Genomic DNA, 22,138 nt, shown 5'->3' with positions numbered 1-22,138 from the left:
GCTGGTGGCACACTTGATAGAGGACTCCAATGCACTGGGAGAACAAACAGCTGGAGGCTGTTATGGGGACGCTTGTTCCCCACTTCTTATGTTTCCTGTGGAAACTTTTACCTAGAACCCTACTACTGGCCTTTCTCCCCACCTCCCTGAATCTTCTTCTCAGAAGTGACATCTGGTAGGTGAGTCTGAGAGAATGACCTGGGCATGCTGGCCCAACCCCTTCCTCCCTTCTTTTGAGATGGGCTATGCTCTGGTTGACGTCTCTGCTGTACAGTACAAAGCATTCGCCCAGCTGGGCCTGGGACTGGGGACTGCCTAATTCGTAAGTTAAGCCTGTATAAGCCCAGTTGGCTGAACACCTTAGCCTTGTTATTTTAACAACTTCAGAGATAATAAAAGTGATATTGTAATTTCCATCTGCCAAGCTCCTGTGTCTATCTCAGAATAGCTGAAAACTCAGGAGGGTGGAAAAAAGGATGTAAATTCTTTGTCTTTGCTCTAGCCTCTCTCTGCATTTCATTGTCTCCTTTTCAGTCACTTGTCAAATCTGGCTTTAAAGTTATTTGTGGACTTCTCATAGGCCACTACTGCATCGCATAGGTAGTCCTCAACTTTAATGATTGTGCTTTAAAACGATCTAAGCACCCTTTTCACACTCTACACTGACACTTCTAAACTGAGTGTTACATGTCAAATTCAGGCTGTCAAGCGTCAGCTGGCAAAAACGAACATTCCCAGCTATCCCACAGCAGAGCTGCTTACCAGCCAGCTGCTGTGTTCTACGGTTTCATCACTTTCGTTGGCATGGCAGTTTGGGGACAATTATTTAAATACTTTATTAAATTTGCAGTGATTATTTTATTAAAAAAAAGTAAAGTGGAAAAATGAAAATATTCATCCTGGTGACAAAAAAAATGAAGACCTCATAAAACTTGATGCAGTTGAGGCAAAGATGGAGATCATTAGGCAAGCTGAATGTTAGGGATGGAACCTCGATTTGGGTGTTTGTTTTATTTATAAGGGGTGACTTTTGTGTTTAACCGTGACAAGGAAGAATAAAGTGAACAAAATATATAGAACATAATGTATAGTCAGGGTTCTCCAGAGGATCAGAGCCAACAAGATATGTATCCTGAGAGAGCAGCAGAGACTTATTTTAAGGAATTAGCTCATGTGATTGTGAGAGCCAGCAAGTCCAAAATCTGCAGTCCAGTCTGAAGGCCACCAGGCTGGAGACCCAGGAAAGAACCAGTGTTGCAGTTCAAATCTAAAGGCCACCTATTGACAGAATTCCTTCTAACTCAGAGGAGGTCAGTGATTTGTTTTACTCAGGCCTCAACTGATTGGATGAGGCTCACCCACATCACTCGGGGCAATCTGTTTTCCTCAAAGTCCACCGACTTGGCCGGGCATGATGGCTCAAGCCTGTAATCCCAGCATTTTGGGAAGCCAAGGCAGGTGGATCATTTGAGGTCAGGAGTTTGAGAGCAGCCTGGCCAACATGGTGAAACGCTGTTTCTAGTGAAAATATAAAAATTAGCCCGGTGTGGTGGTGCATGCCTGTAATCCCAGCTACTCAGGAGGCTGGGGCATGAAAATCACTTGAACCCAGGAGGCGGAGGTTGCAGTGAGCCGAGATTGCACCACTGCACTCCAGTCTGGGTGACAGAGTGGGAGTTCATTTAAAAAAAAAAAAAGTCCAATTACTTAAATGTTAATCTCATCCAAAACACCCTCACAGAAATATGCAGAAAATCTTCCATCACATACATACCTGGGCATTATGGCCCAGCCAAGTTGACACACAAATTAACCACCACATATGGTGGAAATAGAGCTTCAAAATGATGTTCCAAAGGCAAGCAATATTATACTTTTAAAATCTCTGGGAATATACCCCTTTTGTATACTATTTTGAAATCCTTGGAAATACACAATTTTTTTATACTTCAGTGTAGTTTTAAGGAGCAGAAAATTAAGGGACTGCCTATAAACTCCTTGAGGAAAGGTGTTATGTCTTTATAACAGGAATGGGATTGGCAGCAAACAACTGTATACCTGACTAACAGTGGCCTGAACAAATAACGACATAATTTTCTCACCTTATGAGAAGGCTGGAGGTAAGTGGCTGCTTGTATTGGTTCAGAAGCTCAGTGGTGTTGGGACTGACACCACTGTGATTCTCTTTGCCTTTCCCCCATGGTTTCAAAATGATGGCTGTATCCACGTTCAAGGAAGGAAGAAGAAAGTGCTGCAGTTCCATTTTATTGGGAAAGCAAATGCTTTCCCAGAAACTTCACCAGATTATGCTTATATCTCATTGGCTAGAACCACGTCACATGGCCACCCCTAGCTGCAAGGGAGGCTGGGTAAGCAAGTATTTATTTGGCCATATTACTGCTTTGAACAAACTTAAGATTCTATTAAGGAAGAGACAAGTGAGATAGATTTTGAATAGATGGTAAATCATGTCTGCTATAATCCTATGTATCTTTTATTCTTGATGCCTGCTCAAGACTTAGGATACAACTTCTATCAATAGAAGTACTCAATAAATATTTATTAATTAAAAAGGTAGAAAAAGAAGCAAAACTTGATTTTTTTTCTCTCATTCCCTGTGAGATTCTTTCATCAGATGGCAATACTGAATTTTTTTTTTCTATTTTCCATATAATTGCTCACCATTCTATTGGATAATATTAGGTTTATTATTAGATAATAAACACCAACTGTCATTTATTGCATGTTTACTAAGTACCAGACACTAATTTATGTACCTTATGTATATTAACTTTAATCTTTAACATAATCCTGGGAGGTAAGTAGTATTACTGTCCTATATCATAGATAAGGAGACTGAGGCACAGAGAGATTAAGTAACTATAACTTGTTCCAGATCACACAGCTGGAAAGTGGCAGAACTGGGTTAGGAATAGAGTTGGAAGACTTAGCAAATAAAAATTACAAGATGTCCAGTTAATTTTATATTTTCGATAAACAGGTTTTTTTTTTTTTTTTTTTTTTTGAGACGGAGTCTTGCTCTGTTGCCAGGCTGGAGTGCAGTGGGGCAATCTCGGCTCACTGCAACCTCCGCCTCCTGGGGTCAAGCAATTCTGCCTCAGCCTCCTGAGTAGCTGGGACTACAGGAGCGTGCCACCATGCCCAGCTAATTTTTGTATTTTTTTTTTTTTTTGGTTGAGACGGGGTTTCACCGTGTTAGCCAGGATGGTTTCGATCTCTTGACCTCATGATCCGCCCGTCTGGGCCTCCCAAAGTGCTGGGATTACAGGCATGAACCACTGTGCCCAGCCCAATAAACAGTTTTTTAGTATAAATATGTTCCATGCAATATTTGGAACCTACTTATGCAAAAACATTATTCGTTGTTTATCTGAAATTTGCATTTAACTGGATGTCTTGTATTTCATCTGGTAACCCTAGTTAAGAACCCAGGCAGTGTGACTTCAGAGCCTGTACTCTAAATCACAACTTCATACTCCCTTTCGTAACGTATGAGTTTAATCTTTATCAATTACAACTTATAATTATCCTTTGTATTTACTTGTTTACTTATTTAGTACCCATGTCCCTCACTATAATATAAGCTCCATGGGGGAAGGGAGCTATTTGTCTAGTTCATTGCTGAATCTTCTGTGGCTGGAACAGTGCCTGGTACAGAGTAGATGCCCAATAACTTCTTGTTAAAGAAATGAAGATGATGTCCTTTTTAGTAGCATGATCTGATTTGAATGTGGAAGGCTAGCTATGGAAAGGTTTTATTACTATCTGCCACATACTGCAGTATCTCCTTATGGCACCCTCCCCTGCAATACATTTTGTTGCAGTCAAGAGCGGCCATGTACTTGCTTTGGTCAATGAATTGTGAATGGAAGTGATTTGTGTCTTTAAAAGCTGGTACATGACACACGATGTGCTTCTTCTCCTGCCATCTGGTTGGCAACATTCAGATGAAAGCTACTCCATCATCTTGAATCCTGGAGTGAAGATGAGATGGGGAAGAACTAAGCTGACCTTTGATGAACAGACGGCATGAGCGTAAAATGAACCTTTATTGTAAGTCAGTGAGGCTGGCGGGGGCATGTTAATGACTGTGGCATGCCCTTGACTGATTATATTCTTCACTGACATGCTGCCTAGCATGCAGAGGCCATGCGACCCTTGGGGAGGCTCCTACTTGCCTTGGAAAAGTAGCTCCTCCTCTTCTCAAATGTAATAATGGAAACCTTACATGGGTGGATCCAGGGGTAAAGCTCTTTGTGGTGTATAGCAACAGAATGTTAAGTCAAAGTGGTTGTCAACAAAGTTTATCGAACAGCAGCTATATTTTTTATAATGAACACTGGTTTGCCTGGAACCTTGAAGTAACCATGAATTTTTCCTAGACCCTAATACTATCAGAAAGAAACAAATCACCCAACAATAAGATCAGTAACTAAAACCAACAAATCCCAAAGGCATCTCACAGTGCTGGCATATGTCTCTGCCATAGCTCATGCTCATAAACTGCAATGAGCCAACCCTGGCATCATGAAGGACCCCGATTTTAAAAATGGGTAAAGAAGTTCTGAAAGCCTGGGCAACATAGTGAGACCATTCTCTTAAAAAAAAAAAATTAGCGAGGCATGGTTGGTCATGCATCTGTAGTTCCAGCTACTTGGGAGACTGAGGCAGGAGGATTACTTGAGCCCAGGAAGTCAAGATTGCAGTCAGCCATGATTGCACCACTGCACTCCAGCCTGGGCAATAGAGTGAGACCCTGTTAATGAAAAAAAAAAAAAAAAAAAAAAAAAAAAAAAAGGAGTTCTGGAGATATGTGCTAGTGATGACTCACGCTAATGTGAATGTACTTAATGCCACAGAACCGTACACTTAAAAATGGTTAGTGTTCTGTGTATTGTACTATATAAATAAACACAAAATGGTGAATCACTTGCTTTGTTTGTCTGATGTGTTATTCTTGATGGGCTACTTAAGACTTATTGGTTGCAAGTTACAGAACCAATGAGAACTAGTTTGAACAAAAAAAGGTAAATTGTAAGTATCCTGGGTTGTATCTCACCGAACCCCAGGGCAGGAAGGCTAAGAGGTCTCAGGAAGGACTAGAATTAGGAACTGGAAGGCCACTTGGACTCTTCCTGGTCTTGGCTTTTCTCTGTGATTCGACTTCATCTTCATTCTCATTGCAGCCTAGTTTCTCTCTTCCTGGCCCCCTGGGTGGGAAATACTTGCTGCCTTCTCCTTAGCTCCAAGTTTACTCAACATGTTACACTCCCATGTTGAGAGGAACGCACGCTCTCTCACTCCTAACCGCATATTCCCAGGAAAGCGAGGCTGATTGGCATGTCCCGGGTCAGCTGGCCTCCCTGGGGGTACAAACATGGCGGATTCCGAGAGAGGAGTGACGGGGCACGAGCATCAAACAGTGCCTTAATATTTGGGAATATTCATCACACTCAACCAGATCATGTTCTTCTCTGAAGCTCTTGGCACAGAGTTCCATTCCGTTTGACGAGCATAAAAAGATACACAGTGATATGAATTGCATTGTTAGTAGACAAGTCAGGATCCCTTCCTCTCCTCCTGTATGGCCAAATTCTCCATTTTCACAGCGACAGGAGATGTGGGTCCTTTCTGTAGTGTTTTGTCTCCAGCCCAGTCCTCCTTTGGGCTCCGGCTCTGAAGGGAGCACAATGCATGCTCTGTGTTTGACCACAAGTGCTCGATAAGGCCTTGGCCCACAGCCCAACTGCTTGCCCCACTTTCTCTGGGTCCCACAGACCCCACAAGGTACTGGAAGACTTTCTTGTAGTAAAGGGAGCCCTTTCCATTTAGCCTTTGTTGTATGCGACTCCCTGTTTGTCAGTTTTTGGCCAATGAGATAATCTCTTTGGCTCCCTCATAGGGCTTTGTTTTCTAACTCTCCAGAGGCCCCTACTCTCGATGCATCCTTCAATGCCTCTCACTTGCCAGGAGACTGCAGAGATGCGTTTATCCAGAGTCAAGTCTAACAGGTATAAATTTGCTTCACAACATTCAGGTATGAGAAATGTCATATTTCTCCTTTTTAAAAAATTTTGTACCATCCAACTGTGAGCACCTGCCTGCCAACTGATGGGAAGCCTAGTGTAGCCCCATCCCTGGAGCAGGCCTCCATCTCCATGGAACCAGAGTCTGAGGAACCTGATCCTAGGCACAGGCAAACAGCCAACCGTGCAGTTGCTCCCCAGCCCCAGCTGCCCTGGCTCACAGGGAACCTCCCCATGGGCCTTAAGGTCCCTGGGGCACTGCAGGGGGTGTGTGCAGGTCTCTGCCTCTGTGGCACTCTTCCTCCCGTAGGTCCCCTATCTCTAGAGTCTCTGTCTCCCCTTCGGACAGGTCATACCCACTCATTAATCTTTAGCCTTACCTCATCCCTCTGCAACGTTTGAGACTGGGCTTTAAAAAACATTTATTGTCCCATGAGGCAAGTGAAGCTCCTACTAACATGACATAGCACAGTGGGGGAGGGGACAGAGGTAGGTACTAATGATTCCCCTTGTTGGCCTTGAAAACCAGACACCACTGACTTCTTCATCAGAAGCTGCCACACCCACTGATTTGCAACACCTCCCAGTTTCCCACCCCAGCAAGGAGAGGAAGGCATCCACCCAGATCCCATCATCGTCTTGGAACAGGAAGACCCCACTACAGCACCTCATCCCCAGAGGTTATGCCAACAGCAGCAGTGTCAGGTGGAAGACCCCCTTGCTATGCAGCTTCCTATGGGAAATGGTGATCACAGGAATTTTTTGACAAAAAGAATGCAATGTTAACTAAGTTATTTTATATTTAAAAATTTATTGTGGTAAGAAAACATAAGATCTACCCCAAAAAATTTTTAAGTGTACAATACATTATTGTTAAACACATTTTTTTTTTTTTTGAGACAGAATCTTGCTCTGTCACCCAGGCTGGAGTGCAGTGGTGCAACCTCGGCTCACTGTAAACTTTGCCTCCCAGGTTCAAGCAATTCTCTTGCCTCAGCCTGCCAAGTAGCTGGGATTACAGGCACATACCACCACGCCCGGCTAACTTTTTTATATTTTTAGTAGAGACGGGGTTTCACCATTTTGGCCAGGCTGGTTTCAAACTCTTGACCTCATGTGATCCACCTGCCTTGGCCTCCCAAAGTGTTAGGATTACAGGCGTGAGCCACCGCACCCAGCCGGTCAAGTTTATAAAATACGTTATTTAACACATAAATAAATGAGAAGCATTACCCTGGGTACGGCCTTCCCCAGGAGATAAAAGACTTGAATTTTCGGTTTCCATTACAACCTCAAGTTCCAACTCCTCTACATTGTAAGCCCATAGAGGTCAGCATCCCCTGTTTTAATCATCTCTGTCCTCCTCACACCCAGGCATGACAGACCTCCGTAGTAATTTGGCGAATTAATCTCTTAGTTGGTTCCTGATTCTTCATTTGAGCCCTCACACGAAGATAAAATCTTCGCCTGACATTTCCTTCTGGACCTGCAAAGAGAAAGCACTTGTGATATTTTGCATCTGAAATGAGGCTGAAGTTAAACAACTCCCAGGACAGTTGTGTAAACAAATAGTCTGGGAATGTCTATTAGCCCTCAGGGACTGGGAATTCACTCCTGAATCACCCTGCTGTGCCTAGACAGGTTGGGAACTGAGGCCAGCATCCATTGATTCATCAGCACTTCCTCCAAGAGTAAGAACCACCATCTGAACTTTCACTCTCCAAACATTTGTTATAGAGACTTAGCAACATTTTTACTTAAAATTTGCTATGTGATGCAGGCTCAAGAATTGGTAGCTTAAAAAAGAAAAGAAAAAAATGTGCTATATGAATCAAAACACTATTATAATCTGCTCTCCAGCAACCTTTCAGGTCCTAGTGGAAGGGTGGAGGATGTGCGACAGGCACATCTCAGCTCTCCTCCTGGTAGAAGCGCCTCTCGTGTCTATGTTGTTCTGCCATATTGGGAAGATGTCTTGTAAGAAAGTTGAAAAGCCTATGAATAAAGCAATTGAGACTAAGAGATCTAAACAACCCCCATAAATTAGAAGAAAAGTTGAGGCCGGGTGTGGTGGCTCATGCCTGTAATCCCAGCACTTTGGGAACCCAAGGTGGGTGGATCACCTGAGGTCAGGAGTTCGAGACCAGCCTCACCAACATGGTAAAACCCCGTCTCTACTAAAAATACAAAAATTAGCCGGGTATGGTGGCGGGTGCCTGTAATCCCAGCTACGCAGGAGGCTGAGGCAGCAGAATCGCTTGAACCCGGGAGGCGGAGTTTGCAGAGAGCAGAGATGGCGCCATTGCATTCCAGCCTGGGCAACAAGAGCAAAACTCCATCACACACACACACACACACACACACACACACACACACACAAAAGAAAGAAAAAGAAAAAAGTTGAATGTGATCAAGTGTATTGTGAGAGGCAAAATCATATGTGATATGAACATAGGCATGCACATGTCCTGTGTACGTGCAATTCTTTCTATGCACTCTATGCATTCACTGTGGATTCTTAATAAGTGATGTCACTATTTTTATATTTTTGTGATGAAGAAGTAAAATGTAGTTCATATCTCATAACTCAATCCAATATGAAAGTGTCTTGAACACAAAGGTACCCACTGATGACTTCACCCAATGTTAAATAATTAGGTAATTGTTCAGTGTTTCATATCAGTGGTTCTTAGACCTCAGCAAGCATCAGAATCTCTTGGAGGTTTTGCTAAAACTCAGATTGCTGGACCCCATCTCAGAGTAAACCCCTGCTTTAGTAGGTTTAGAATGGGGTCTGAGAATTTCCTTTTTTTTTTTTTTTTTTGAGAAAAGGTCTGGCTCCATTGCCCATGCTGGAGTGCAGTGGTGAGATCTTGGTTCACTGCAACCTCTGCCTCCCAGGTTCCAGCTCCACCCATCTTCCCACCTCAGCCTCCCGAGTAGCTGGGACCACAGGCATGTGCCACCATGCCTGGCTAATTTTTTTGTACTTTTTGTAAAGATGAAATTTCACCATGTTGCCCAGGCTGATCTCGAACTCCTGAGCTCAAATGATCCCCCCGCCTTGGCCTCCCAAAGTGCTGGGATTACAAGTGTGAGCCACCATACCCACCCTCGATAATCTGAGTTTTTTACAAGTTCCCAAGTGATGCTGATGCTGCTGGTCCAGATTCATACTCTGGGAAACACTGATTTCTATTGTTCAGAGCTCCTTGGTGGATGTTTACATAAATGTTTTGAGTGTTTTAGTGATTAAGAGGATATTGATTGGAGTGTTTGGATAGGTTGGCAATGTATTATCATTTTCTCCATTTTATTTATTTTTCATTTTTTATTTTTTAAAATTTTAATTTATACAAATATATGTTGTCCAGGCTGGTCTCAGACTCCTGTCCTCAAGCAGTTCTTCCACCTTGGCCTCCCAAAGTGCTGGGTTTAATGGGCTAGGTGTGAGCCACCACACCCCACCCCTTTTCTCTATTTTAATGAAATATAGACGCTTGTTATCCTAAAGTTTTCTTTTTCTTTCTTTTTTTTTTTTTTTGCCATGAAGTTCATGAACACACTAAAATGTTCTATGCAGCATATTTTTAGGAGCAGATTCGGTTCAGATAATTTATTATGTCTGTGCTGCCAACTTGAGGCTGCCTGAGAGTTTGTTGGGAGCTCCAAACTCTCCAGTCACCACAGAAGCCACCTTTTCACCCAGCGGGCGCACACTCGGGATCTGAACTCTCTGATAGATGGGCCATGCTGGGGAGACAGCAGCAGCCTGAAAAGGGTTCACAGCCCTCCAAGAAAAAGGGAGAAAAGACCCTGCATTTGACTGCAACACTAAAGAACCCTTTCATTGCTCATGAAAAGAGTTTGGAGAATATTGGCCAGGAGCCCAGAGCTAGGGGATCCAGGGCTGTGGGCAAGTTATTAAGGGCCCTGGAAAGGCCCCATTGGGCAATTTAGGGAATCCCTGGGCTGGTATTGGAAGGCATTAATGGAAGAGATTGAATGGCCACCTGCCCCTCTACTGGGGCCTGAGGAGGGGTCAGTGCCCCGGCCTGCATAGGGGCTGTAGACTGCTGCTGTTGGGGCCAATACCAGGCCAGGGAAAAGGAAAGAAAGGGAAAAATGAAGCATGAGAGAGCTATTTTCAACTTTAAGGATGCCAAATGGGGTTTTAAACATTATGGACAAATGAAGCAGGGTAGGGAGCTTCATTTGCTCAAGGAGTCGGGAATCCTAGCCTCTCTTACCCCAGTATCATTTTTCAGAATTCACCACTGGCTTTTTGAATCAGATCTGGAAACTTAAGCTTCTCATTGGCATGAAATCAGAAGATGTGCACAGCAGATTTTCCCATTCTGTGAGATGAGCTGGACTGAGGCTCCAGGAAGTGAGATCTGGGGCATTTCACCTCTGCTGTGTCTCCTTCGAGACTACAATATCATTCATTCTGAGGTTCCATTCCTACATGTAGTCATTCTTGGTCTGCCCATTTGGAAAAGGGCACTAGGAATACCTGTCCTGCCCATTGTCATGAGGGTGTTATGGGGATCCATACACTCTGAAAGGTGCATGACTGAATTATTGGAATATTGATGAAGAGTGGAAGTCCTTGTGTTTGAGATTGTGTGTAAGGAGTTCTTCATTCCATGAGGGTGGGGGTTTGTCTGGTTTTTCACTGATATCCCCAAATATTAGGACAATGATTGACGCATACTGGGCACTTAAAAAAAGTTTATTGAATGAATACATGTGAAAAAAAAAACACAAAGAATTGCAGAATTTAACAACTGGAGAGATCTTTAGAAATCATGTCAAATCTCAATTTATAAGTCCCAGCAAGGTTTATGCTCCTCTCCAAGCTATTACAGCCTCAAGGGTCAACAAGTGAACAGACCACCCAGATGAAGCTGACCAAAGTCTTGCATTCAGTTTCTCTTACTGCTTTGCAGTCACATGAAACTAATTAAGAAAAACAAAACAAAACAAAACAAAACTTAAGCTCTAATGATTGATTCTTTTTTTTCTTTTGGCAAGGGCAAAAAAACATTCCAGTCCATCTCTGAGCTTAACATGTCTGGTCCTATTACACTTTTAAAAAGTAAAAAGAGAAGAAAACAAACAAACAAAATCCAACACTTGGAAACTTGCTTGGCATCCAGTGTACTCATTCCTGGTTCATGGAGCAGTCAGAAAACACATATCATCTGTGAATCCCTTCTCAGGCACAACTAAAGCCAGAGTGTGAGTTACAACAGTCTAGCTTCCCAAAGGCTCTTCCGCATCTCGGACCCAGCAGCAGCTCATCTCTCTGCCAGAGCAATCTGATTGACAATCATCAATCAGGAAGGACTTCAGAGGTCTCGTGGCCCCTTTACTACAGAGACTTGCCACAGCCACCTAGCCGGCGAGTGACGGCCTGGACCCTCCCCATTTGCCAGGTCTAAGGACATTTATTAGAAAGGACACTGCTCACCACTGGCCCTGGACACCTCTGAGACCACTGGGCCTGTCACGTGGGGGGTGTGAGTGGGGAAACCCAGCAGGATGTGGGTTAACGGCAGGGGAGGTTGCACGTCTTCCTCTGCTGCCTCTCACTACTGTAGCACCAGAGAGCCGTGTCTGTTCATGTTGCCGGTCCTAAATGCTCTCTGGCCTGTCCTGAACTTTCTCTGGCTCTTTCTTCAGCATTTCATGAGCTTTTATGATGAAGCCTCTGTGTATGTTTGTGTGAGCAGCAGAAAAGGTGCAGAAAGACGTTTGTTAAACTGTTAGCAGTGGTTACCTGGGGCAGTGGGATTACAGTCAGGCAGATGGAGATGATTAACTTTTCCTTACTATCTCTGTGTTGCTTGAACTTGTTATAACCAGCATGTATTACACATGAAACTTTAAAGAATCCAATAAAATTAGAAAGCAAGTCGCAAAAGGAGACACACAGTATGATATCATGCCCATAAAATCCGAAATCCAAAACTCCCATAAACAATATGTTGTGTTGTTTATGGGGTATCCTATGTATTGTTTACGGGGTCTAAACCTAGGGGCCTAGTAAAAAGCCTAAAGCCTGCTGGAAGACGCCACACTGGATGGGAAGAGCTCATAGAGAAAGGAGGTGGAGTGATGTTGAGGAAGGCAACTTCAACTGGACCCATGGCATTTTGTTTCCTAAGAAAACAAAAACCTCAAAGCAAATATGGTGAAAAGTTAATGTTCGTTGGAGTGGACGATGGGTCTTTTATGACTGTTATGTTATTCTCCATACTTGTCCATTCGTTTGAAATATTTCAGAAACTAAATTAACTATAACAAAGGAGAGATAATTGAATTCATCCTTATTTGTAACTTATCTTGCACGACACCCGATATGTACCCCAGGTATAAGAAAGGAAAAAAGGGAAGAGGGAGGGGGAAAGGAAAAATCAAAGTGAGTTTTGGAGAGCTGGTTTGCTTTTCTGATCTTCTTTATTCTCCCAATGGGTTTTGTTCAGAAAATAAACATGGGAAAGAGGCAAAGTTAATGTCCCCTGGAGAAATGGATGGATGATTGGATGGATAGACAGATGGACAGGTGGGTAACCTCATGAGCCAACAGCTGCCAGGTTTTCAGAGCAGGTAGGAATCTACCTTCATCATGGAGGCTGCGACTGGGACCGCTCACTGCCCACAGCTCACCTCTGGATGTGATACGATGCATTCATGAAGTTGGGCTCTTATGCCTTAGCCTGTAAGGCTGAAAGTGCCTCCTGTGCGAATGAGTAGCTAGAACACAAAGAGCACCTACGGCCCGTTCCACCCCTGTGCCCCATGGGGAATATTCCGGGTGTCTTTCCCCAGCCCCAAGTTGAGACCTGCAGCTATGACGGTAGGGACCCAAGGGGGACAGTAGCTCCCCGCTGCTCTTGAGGGCCAGGAACTAATAATAAACCATGTGGCCATTTCATAGGAACCACTTCAAATTTTTTTCTCAAAAACCGAAAAAGTTCCTGAGAAATCGTGGACAGCAGAGGGGTTCTTCATTGTACCTTTTTTCTTGGGGCATGTAACCTGGACCCGGGGAGGTGAGGGTCTGGCCAGGGTCACAGCTAAGGACATGTGTCCTGGCTCAGAGAGCAGAGCAGTGCTCGCCCACTAGCCAGCTCAGGTGGGCTCTAGAATTTAGTCTGGTGGAGAAGTGCCCAGCCCACACAGGTGACAGCTCTTACTACACTCCAGGTGCTGTCGGCTTATCAGATGTTATTTAATTCTCGCAGCAGCCTATGGGGTAGTTGAGTAGTGTGGCTGGAATGTCAGGGGTGTGTAGGGACGCCTTAGGAATGAACCTGCAGAGGTCAGTTAGGACTAGGCTGGGGAGGAACAGAATGCCATGCCAAGGATCCCTCCTCTGGGTGAGGGGGAGTGATCAGGGGCTTTTGGTAGGGAAGTAATGTGACCTGGCTTATTTTTTTGAGAATGGATTGGAGGGGCAAGAGCAGAGCAGAGCAGAGCAGAGGCTGAGAGAGGAGGTGATGGGGCATGAGGGATGGCGGCTGGGACTAATGCTGGGGCCTTGGGCGAGGACAGGAAGACAGCTTTCTGGTCTGGAGAGGGAAGCAGCATGGGGATCACTAGAGAGGAGAGCCAGAGAGGAGGCAGAGGCCCCAAAGGAGGAAGAAACCATGAACAAGAGTCTTGCTTAGGCTCTGTCCCCAACCAGCTTTGGAACCTTGGGCAAGTCACGTCATCCCTCCGGGACTCAGTTTTCACTGCTGTAAAATGATGGGGCTGAATGCATCCTCTCCCATGGTAAGAACGATGGGCCTTTTGCACATTTCTTTTGCTCCAGGGGTGGGGAAAGCCTGAACCATGGCATAATGCCTGGCACTGCCAGGAGCACCAGAGGAACTGCCAAAGTGGCAGGGAGTGGCCGGCACATGGGGCCAGTTGGCATTGAAGCAAGCAGCATGGCAACGCTAAGGCAAAGAGCAGGCCAAGGCTGCCGGGGCTTGCCAGTGTGGGCAGGATGCTGGAGTAACTGTGGCAGGGCTCCAGCAGACACGAGCAAGGCCAGTCTGGGAACCGCATCCCCCCTTTACATAATCATCCTTACGGCAACATGTTTTCTCATTTCAGTTAAGCAGTGCCAGGCCTCTGATCAAATGGCTTTTGTAATCCTTGTTGTCAAGTTTAAGCTTGAGCAAACAGTAAGGCAGCCTGAGAGTCACCTCAGCCTTCTGACTCAGCGTCCCTGTGTGCAGCGGATGGGATGGGATCTTCTAAATGTCCCTTCTGACACTAAAATGCTAGGAGCCTTCTGTTAGAATTCCACCCTCTAAATCATACCATGCTGGGGGCACCTCACGCCTCTGAGTGTGATCAAAGCTCACTGCAGCCTCAAACTCCTGGGCCCAAGTGATCCTCCTCTCTCAGCCTCCTGAGCGGCTGGGACCACAGGCGTGTACCACCACGCCCAGCTAATTAATTTTTCTTTTCTTTTTTTTTTTTTTTTTGTAAAGACAGAGTCTCACTATCTTGCCCAGGCTGGTCTTGAATTCCTGGCCTCTAGCAAGCCTCCCACCTCAGACTCCCAAAGTGCTGGGATTATAGGTGTGAGCCACCACACCCAGCCTTTATACATCTTGAAATACACTTTTCAGCTGTAGAGCCATGATACGTGATTTAAATTCTCTGTGCCTGTTTCCTTGGGCCTGGCAGAGAAAGTGTGAATAGCCTATTGTGGCCGTATACCTGGGGATGATAATGCTACCTACTTTGCTGTTAGGAATACTAAGTGAGAAAGTATGAGTGAAACCTTCAGCACAGAGCCAGGCACACCGTAAGTGCTCCATGAACGGACAGCTATTATTGTAATTACGCATTCAGCCATCAGAACTTACTGCATGTCGAGAGCTGTGCAAGGCTCAGGGGATAGGGTACTAACCAGTTAGGCTGACGAGCAAGTGTCCTGTCCTCACCGGGTGGCTGTCTGAAGGAGAGGCAGACCAGTCAACCAGTTTCCCTTAACTAGTACATATGCCCTCTGCTAGGGAAGCAAGAGTGGCTGCAGGAGCCCACAGGAGGGGCACCCACCCCAGAGCCATGGGCGGCAGGCCACTGCAGCTGCCCTCTGCTGTCTGGATGCCTTCCCCTGGCCTGGAAAGAGCTTCCCCCAGATGGCTCCATGACCCACTCATTCATGTTATTCAGGACTCTGCTCAGGCATCACCTCCACAAGGAGCCTTCTCCAATCTTTCTGTCTAAAACAATCCCTACCCACCCTGCCGCCTTTATCATTCCATTCCATGCCCTCATGCTGCTTTATTCTCTTTACAGTACTGATCTTTTCTACCAGCGGATTGTGGATCTGTTTTGAAAAATATGTTTATTGACCATTTACCCACCACAAAGTAAGCTTGGTGAACGCAGGGGCTTTACCTATTTTGTATTCCTTATTGCATCCCCAGTGCACTCCCAGAACAATGCCTGGGCCACGGTGAGCCATCAATGCCTGTCTTGGGTGAACAAAGTGACCACTAAGCTAGATCCTGTAGGATGCATAGAGATTGACCAGGGAAAGGGTCAGGGAGAGAAGAGAGAATCTTCCAGGCAGAGGGAGCAGCATGTACAAAACCAGGGGAGGAGAGCAGAACATGATGGGAGGTAGTTCTGTATGACAGGCATGTTCATTAACAGAGCAGGAGGAGCAGGCAGCGAAAGGAAGAGCTTTCTGCTGGAGCTTCTGAATCATGATGTGGGTCTGACCCCATGGAAGGAGCCAGGGCAGGAAGGATGATTGGAGAGGAAAGTCTCAGACTGCAGCATGGTTCTAAGAAGGTTTTGGCCAGGCAGATGGGGAGTCCCTGAGCCAAAGCTGGCCCTCAGAGGAATTCCCCATCAGGCAGAAGCTAGTGCCGTGTTATGCTCAGCCTTTGGCTGGAATTAGCTCAGGGGACGTGTGGCTTTGGAGGGATGCAGTGAGGGATCCTGAAGGGCGGGAACTGTGGCTGTCACTTGACTGCTCCCTGCAGCCGGAGACCTCGATGGTGCAATTCCATGGCTGCCCAACAAGCAGAGAGGGCAAGGAAGGAAGTGGTGAGAATTGAGTCTGGAGAGCTAAACATGGACCAGATCACCAAGGGTACTTCAGGCCCTGTTAAAGAGTTGGATTTTATCATGAAGGCAATGAGATGCCAGGATATGGTTTTGTTCAGGGGAAACAGAATGATTGGATTTGCATGTCAGAAGGATCACTTTGGCTATTATGTAGAACATGGAAAAGAAAACCTTTTGAAAAGTCTAGACTAGTAATCCAGGCTCCCTTTATTATTATTGTTATTATTATTATTATTTGTTTTCATTCTCACTGTGAAAGCAGTTTGAGAAATAGACACAGATGGCCTCCTCGTGGAAGTCAAACCTCACCTTTATTCCTGAATAAGCAGTTAGCAAATGTGCCTTTGTTGTGAGGGCCAAATGGGTTTCCAGTCACTCCCTGCCCAATGGTTCCCTCCAGTCTAGGCCTTGGGCAGCCACCCAGGCATCCATCTGGGTCTTCTCTGGAGAATCACTGCCTTCCTCTGGCCAGGATGAGGAGGGGAAGAAGAGGCTGAGTCCCCGGCACTTATCATGGTCTTTCCATTGCTGAGCTCCACCTAATGGAGGAACATGGACACCTCTCACCCCAGGTGAGTTGGCCGTGTTAGCTCTAGAAGCACAGGGATGGGAAATCTGCGTTCTCCACCTTTGCAGGTGAGAGATAATGGTGGCCCAGTCAGGTTGGTGGCATTGGAGGGAGGAGGACAGAAAGAAGAATTGACAAGACTTAGTAACTGACTGGATGGTGTGGGTGATGGTTCTGTGTGCTCAAAGAAAAGTCAAGAATGAGGCTCAGGTGTCTGCCTCGCACGACAATGGTGGGCCATGCAATTCTATTTCCAGTCCACTTCCAGCCCTTAAGGTACCTTTGTGAGAGTTAGAAACAGGGCCTGCTGAGCAGGAGTAGCTATTGCCAAGGTGACATCCTATGAGTGGCATAGGCTGGATTCTGTCTCCCACACTCCTCCTGGCTAGAGGCCTCTGTGCAGGCTACAACCTGTATGGCCACACATTGTGGACCTGACACCACTGACTGAAATAGGGAGTGAGGAGCCAGTTGGTGAGCTGAATTTTAAGCATATTAGGTTTGAGGTGTCTGAAGACAATATGACATTGTGAGTCTGTTTCTTATTATTATTGAGGTGAAATTTGCATAACATAAAATTAAATATTTTATGTTATGTTATGTTATGTTATGTTTGTTATGTTATTTGACAGAGTCTTACTCTGTCACCCAGGCTGGAGTGCAGCCCCCACTTGATCCCTGCTCACTGCAACCTCTGCCTCCCAGGTTTAAGCGATTCTTCTGCCTCAGCCTCCTGAGTAGCTGGGATTACAGGCGCCTGCCACCACACTCGGGTAATTTTTGTATGTATAGTAAAGATGGAGTTTTGCCATGTTGGCCAGGCTGGTCTCAGACTCCTGACCTCAAGTGATCAGCCCGCCTCGGCCTCCCAAAGTGCTGGGATTGCAGGTGCCAGCTACCGCGCCCAGTCAAAATTAGCCATTTTAAAGCGTACAGTGGCATTGAGTACATTCACAGTGTTGTGCAGCCATCGCTTCTCTCTGGTTCCAAAACATTTCATCATCTGCAAAAAAGATTCCATACACAATAAGCAGTCACTCCCCATCCCCCTCCCCTCAGCCCCAGGCAACCACTAATCTGCTGTCTTTATGGATTTACCTGTACTGAATATTTCATATAAATGGAATCCTGGCTGGGTGTGGTGGGTCACACCTGTAGTCCCAGCACGCAGGGAGGTTGAGGCGGGAGGATCACTTAACCTCAGTTCAAGCGAGACCTCATCTCTACTAAAATTCAAAAAAATAAATATTGAAAATAAAAAATAAATGGAATCCTACAGTGTGTGACCTTTTGTGCTTGGTGTCTCTAACTTAGCATTTGTTTGTTTATTTCTTTTTAAGACTGGGGAAAAGATGGGAAGAAGCCAGTAGAGAAGGGAGATGTTGAAAACACAGGAGGGAAAGAGGAGGTGAGCAATAGGATGCATCCCTGAGAATGTGCTGGAGGGGGTGGTATGGGACTGCCTCTACACCTGCGAGGGCTGCCTCTCACGGAGGAAGCAGGAGCGATGAGGCAGATGCCGACAAGATCCTCCTGATAGGTTTGGTGGCAGCTGAGGGGATTTCCACCTAATGGTTTCTGTTTTTTCTGCGAAATAAGAGCTTGACCATCTACTGAGGGGAGAGTAGTGGTATTGTAGGTTTGAAGAAAATGATGATAATTGGAAATAGCTGCTGTGGAGAAAGGGCACAATCTTGCCGGGGAAATAGAGGAGGTTTTCTAGGCAATGTTGAGAGCGGAGTGAGGCTGGGGTCAGTGAATTCACAGTAACATAAATCTGTGGTGTGATCTGGTTTTATCTGCGGATCTCAGCAGCCTGGACGTGAGTGAGGTGTACGTGTCACATTTGGAGCCATGGCAACCATCCTGTGACCTGGAGGACAGAAGTCTAAAGGTAAAGTGAAAACACTGAGGATGGCGGAGCAGAGGATGGTGGGCGTCCCTCAGGCTGTTCTGTGCACAGTAGTGAGGATGACTCTGTTTGGAAGTCAGAACTCATTGCTCCTCTCCTCAAAACCCACTGATGACTCCCTCCCTCTCCACGAATAAAATTCCACATCCATAAAGCCCCATGTGATCTGACTCCCCACTGCCTCTTTGATCTCATCCTTTTACTCTCCCCCTCCCTCCCTCCAAGCCAACCTCTGGCTTCCTTGTTGATCCTTGAATGTTTCCAGCACGCTCCAGCCTCATGGCCTCTGCGCTAGCTGTTCTGCTTCACCTGGGATGCTCTCAGCCTGGAGTGATCTCAGCCCACACCTGGCCTGTTCACCCACTTGCTTCAGCTCCCTGTGTAAATGTCACCACCTTGGAGAGGCATCCTCTGACCACTCTCTTTCTAATGCACCCCTTTCTTAATCGTTCTATTCCCTTTTCCTGCCTTATTGTTTTTCAGAGTGCATATTAGCACTTTACACTTTAAGGACTTGTTTATTCTCACACACAAACTCTTACACTTCCTCATACGCACATGCACTCACACACAAACTCTCACACTCATATGCACTCACGCTCCCTGATACATGCACACACACTCTCTCACTCACATGCTGACCCGCAATCACTCTCACACATGCACAAATGTGAACTTCCAGAGAGCAGCACCCTGGTCCATTCCCCAACACCTAGAGCAGCACCTGGCATCTAATAGGTATTCAACAAATCTTTATTGAATTAATTAATGAATTAAAATAAAAAGCTAGGGGCTGGGTGTGGTGGCTCACGCCGGTAATCCCAGCACTTTCGGAGGCCAAGGCAAGCACATCACCTGAGGTCAGGAGTCCAAGACCAGCCTGACCAACATGGTGAAACCTTGTCTCTACTAAAAATACAAAATTAGCTGGGCATAGTGGTGCATGCCTGTAATCCTAGCTACTCGAGAGGCTGAGGCAGGAGAATTGCTTGAATCCAGGAGGTGGAGTTTGCATGAGCCAAGATTGCGCCATTGCACTACAGCCTGGGCAACAAGAGCGAAACTCCGTCTCAAAAAAATACAAAAATAAAAATAAAAAGCCAGCGTGCTTCATGTTATTGAGTCACTGAACTGACCCTGGAGCCACCCAGGCGCAGACTTTTTGTCATGGGAGAGTTGTCAACTGCCAGGTCCTGGGAGAAAGCAGCTAAGGCTGAAGCAGGGGGGCAGGGCGTGGGCACCCGGGATGGCACCCCTGGCACTCTGGTCAGAGCCCGCCCACTTCACCCATGGCCTGGCCCAGCTGGCCTGCCCCAGCCCTGCAGAGAAACTGAAACCAGAAATCTAGCTCTGAACCCTGGCCCCTCGCGTGTACGACAGCCCATGTGCTTGGTTCCTGCAAGAGAAAAATCCCACACTTCTCCAACCAGGACAAACCTGGTGTTTTCAGAACTTCCTGTCCCCAGGTTCACTGGTAGAGAATGGATTCAGTTGTAAATAGCAGGAATCTGAAAATAGCAGCTTCAGCAAATTAGGGGTTTAAGTTTCCCAACCGCACAAGCCTAGACTAGAGGTGTGTGGGTCAGGGCAGGTGCAGCAGCTCTGTGCTCTCAGTGGCCCTGAGTCCCTGTCTGTCTCTCTTCTGTCCTGAGCATGTGGTCCTGATTCCCACTTTCCCAAGCAAAGCCAGGGTTCTGATAATGAGGAAGAGAGGTGACCACGGCCAGAGTGTAAGCCAGTGGTTTTTCTTTTTTTCTTTATTTGCCATGGAGCCTAGCTCTGTCACCTGGGCTGGGGTGCAGTGGCATGATCTCAGCTCACTGCAACCTCCGCCTCCTGTGTTCAAGCGATTCTCCTGCCTCAGCCCATGAGTAGCTGGGATTACGGCCATCATGCTCAGCTATTTGGTATTTTTAGTAGAGATGGGGTTTCACCATTTTGGCCAGGCTGGTCTCAAACTCCTGACCTCAAGTGATCTGCCCACCTCAGGCCAGTGGTTTTCAAACTTTGCGTGCACTGGAGTTGCCTGGAGGGCTTGTTCAAACTGAGATTTTGCTCCTCCTCTCAGTTTCCTCCCTCACCGGTTTCCCAGTGATGCCAGTGACCAGGGACCATTCTTTGAGAACTACTGGCAACTGGTGTTGTCTGCTACCCCAGGTGATGTCACCTGGAATGTAAGAGAAATATGCAGAGTGGGAAAGCTGGCCACTGACTTACTGGCTTATCCTTAGAGTGGTCACCATTGACTTACAGGGACAACCTCAGTGTAGCTAAGTCTCATCTTATTTGGCTGTGTCCTCCTTCAGGCCCCTCACTTCCAGCACTCCTCGCACCTTCCTCTGTTGTCCATACAAGAAACTGGCTTCAGGACTTTCTGGCCAAGTGTGTGTGTTTGCACAGAATGCTGAATCCAACTCCCAGGTGCCCAGAGAAGTCAGGACTGGGCTGCTCCTTGCAGACTTTTTGTGAGAGGCTCCAAGCTGCCCTTCCTGGCTAGCAGGCTCTTCTGGAGAAAGGATGTTTACCTTTCACAGGTGAGGGCAGAACTCATTGCCACCTTTTGTTGTAAGTTTCTAAAGACACATGCTGCATGAATGTCTTAATGTCCTGCCCTAAGAAAAGTTTTCCATGCGGACAGGTACCCACCTGTGCTTTTGTGGAAGAGGATATATATTTTTTAATTGAGATATAATTCACATACCATAAAACCATCTTTTAAAAATGTACGAATCAGAGGGGTTTTTAAAAGTATATCCATGGAGTTCTGTAACTATCACCATGAATTCCAGAACATTTTCATTACCCCATAAAGAAACCCCACACCCTTTAGCCATTACTCCCTAATTCCTGATCCCACAGCACTAGCCCCCAGCAAACAACCTTCTGTCTCTGTGGACCTGCCTATTCTGGACGTTTCATATAAATGGAGTCATGCAACATGGGAACATTTGTTTCCGGCTTCTTTCACTTAGCATAATGTTTTCAAGATTCATCCGTATTCTAGCTTGTGTTATTCTTTTTATGGCCAAATAATATTCCATTGCATGGATGTATCACATTTTGTTTAACCATTCATCAGTTGATGGACATTTGAGTTGTTTTTTTTTCTGTTTGGCTATTACGGATAATTCTTCCATGAACTTTCATATGTGAGTTTTTGTGTGGAAACGTTTTCATTTCTCTTGGGTACATACTTAGGAGTGGAAGTGCTGGGCTATACTATATGGTATGTTAATCTGTTTTGCATTGCTATAAAGAAATACCTGAGGCTGGGTAATTTATAAAGAAAAGAGGTTTATTTGGCCCACAGTTCTGCAGTCTATACAAGCATAGCACTGGCATCTGCTCAGCTTCTGGTGAGGCCTCAGGAAGCTTTTACTCATGGCAGAAGGTGGAGGGGGAGCAGGTATGTCACATGGTGAGACAGTGAGCAGGAGAGACGAGGAGGTGCCAGGCTGTTTTTTAGCAAACAGATCTTGCCTTAACTAATAGAGTGAGAACTTGCCCATTACCATGGGG

At 45.9% G+C, this 22,138-nt stretch overlaps 2 annotated features.

Annotated features, from left to right (window-relative positions):
- Window positions 11,352-11,591: an enhancer, noted in NCBI's record as "active region_15920". NCBI's record gives its function as "activates an Ori minimal core promoter by ATAC-STARR-seq in GM12878 lymphoblastoid cells {active_cell/tissue: GM12878}" and the evidence as "EXISTENCE:reporter gene assay evidence [ECO:0000049][PMID:35858748]".
- Window positions 19,317-19,872: an enhancer, noted in NCBI's record as "H3K27ac-H3K4me1 hESC enhancer chr2:65165275-65165830 (GRCh37/hg19 assembly coordinates)". NCBI's record gives its function as "activates a minimal SCP1, AML or CMV promoter by ChIP-STARR-seq in primed H9 embryonic stem cells {active_cell/tissue: H9 hESC(primed)}" and the evidence as "EXISTENCE:reporter gene assay evidence [ECO:0000049][PMID:30033119]".

This window comes from Homo sapiens, chromosome 2, assembly GCF_000001405.40.
Source record: "Homo sapiens chromosome 2, GRCh38.p14 Primary Assembly".
In the NCBI taxonomy this organism is placed as follows: domain Eukaryota; kingdom Metazoa; phylum Chordata; class Mammalia; order Primates; family Hominidae; genus Homo; species Homo sapiens.
Note: the sequence above shows the minus strand (reverse complement) of the source record. Positions and strands in the feature narration are given on the sequence as shown.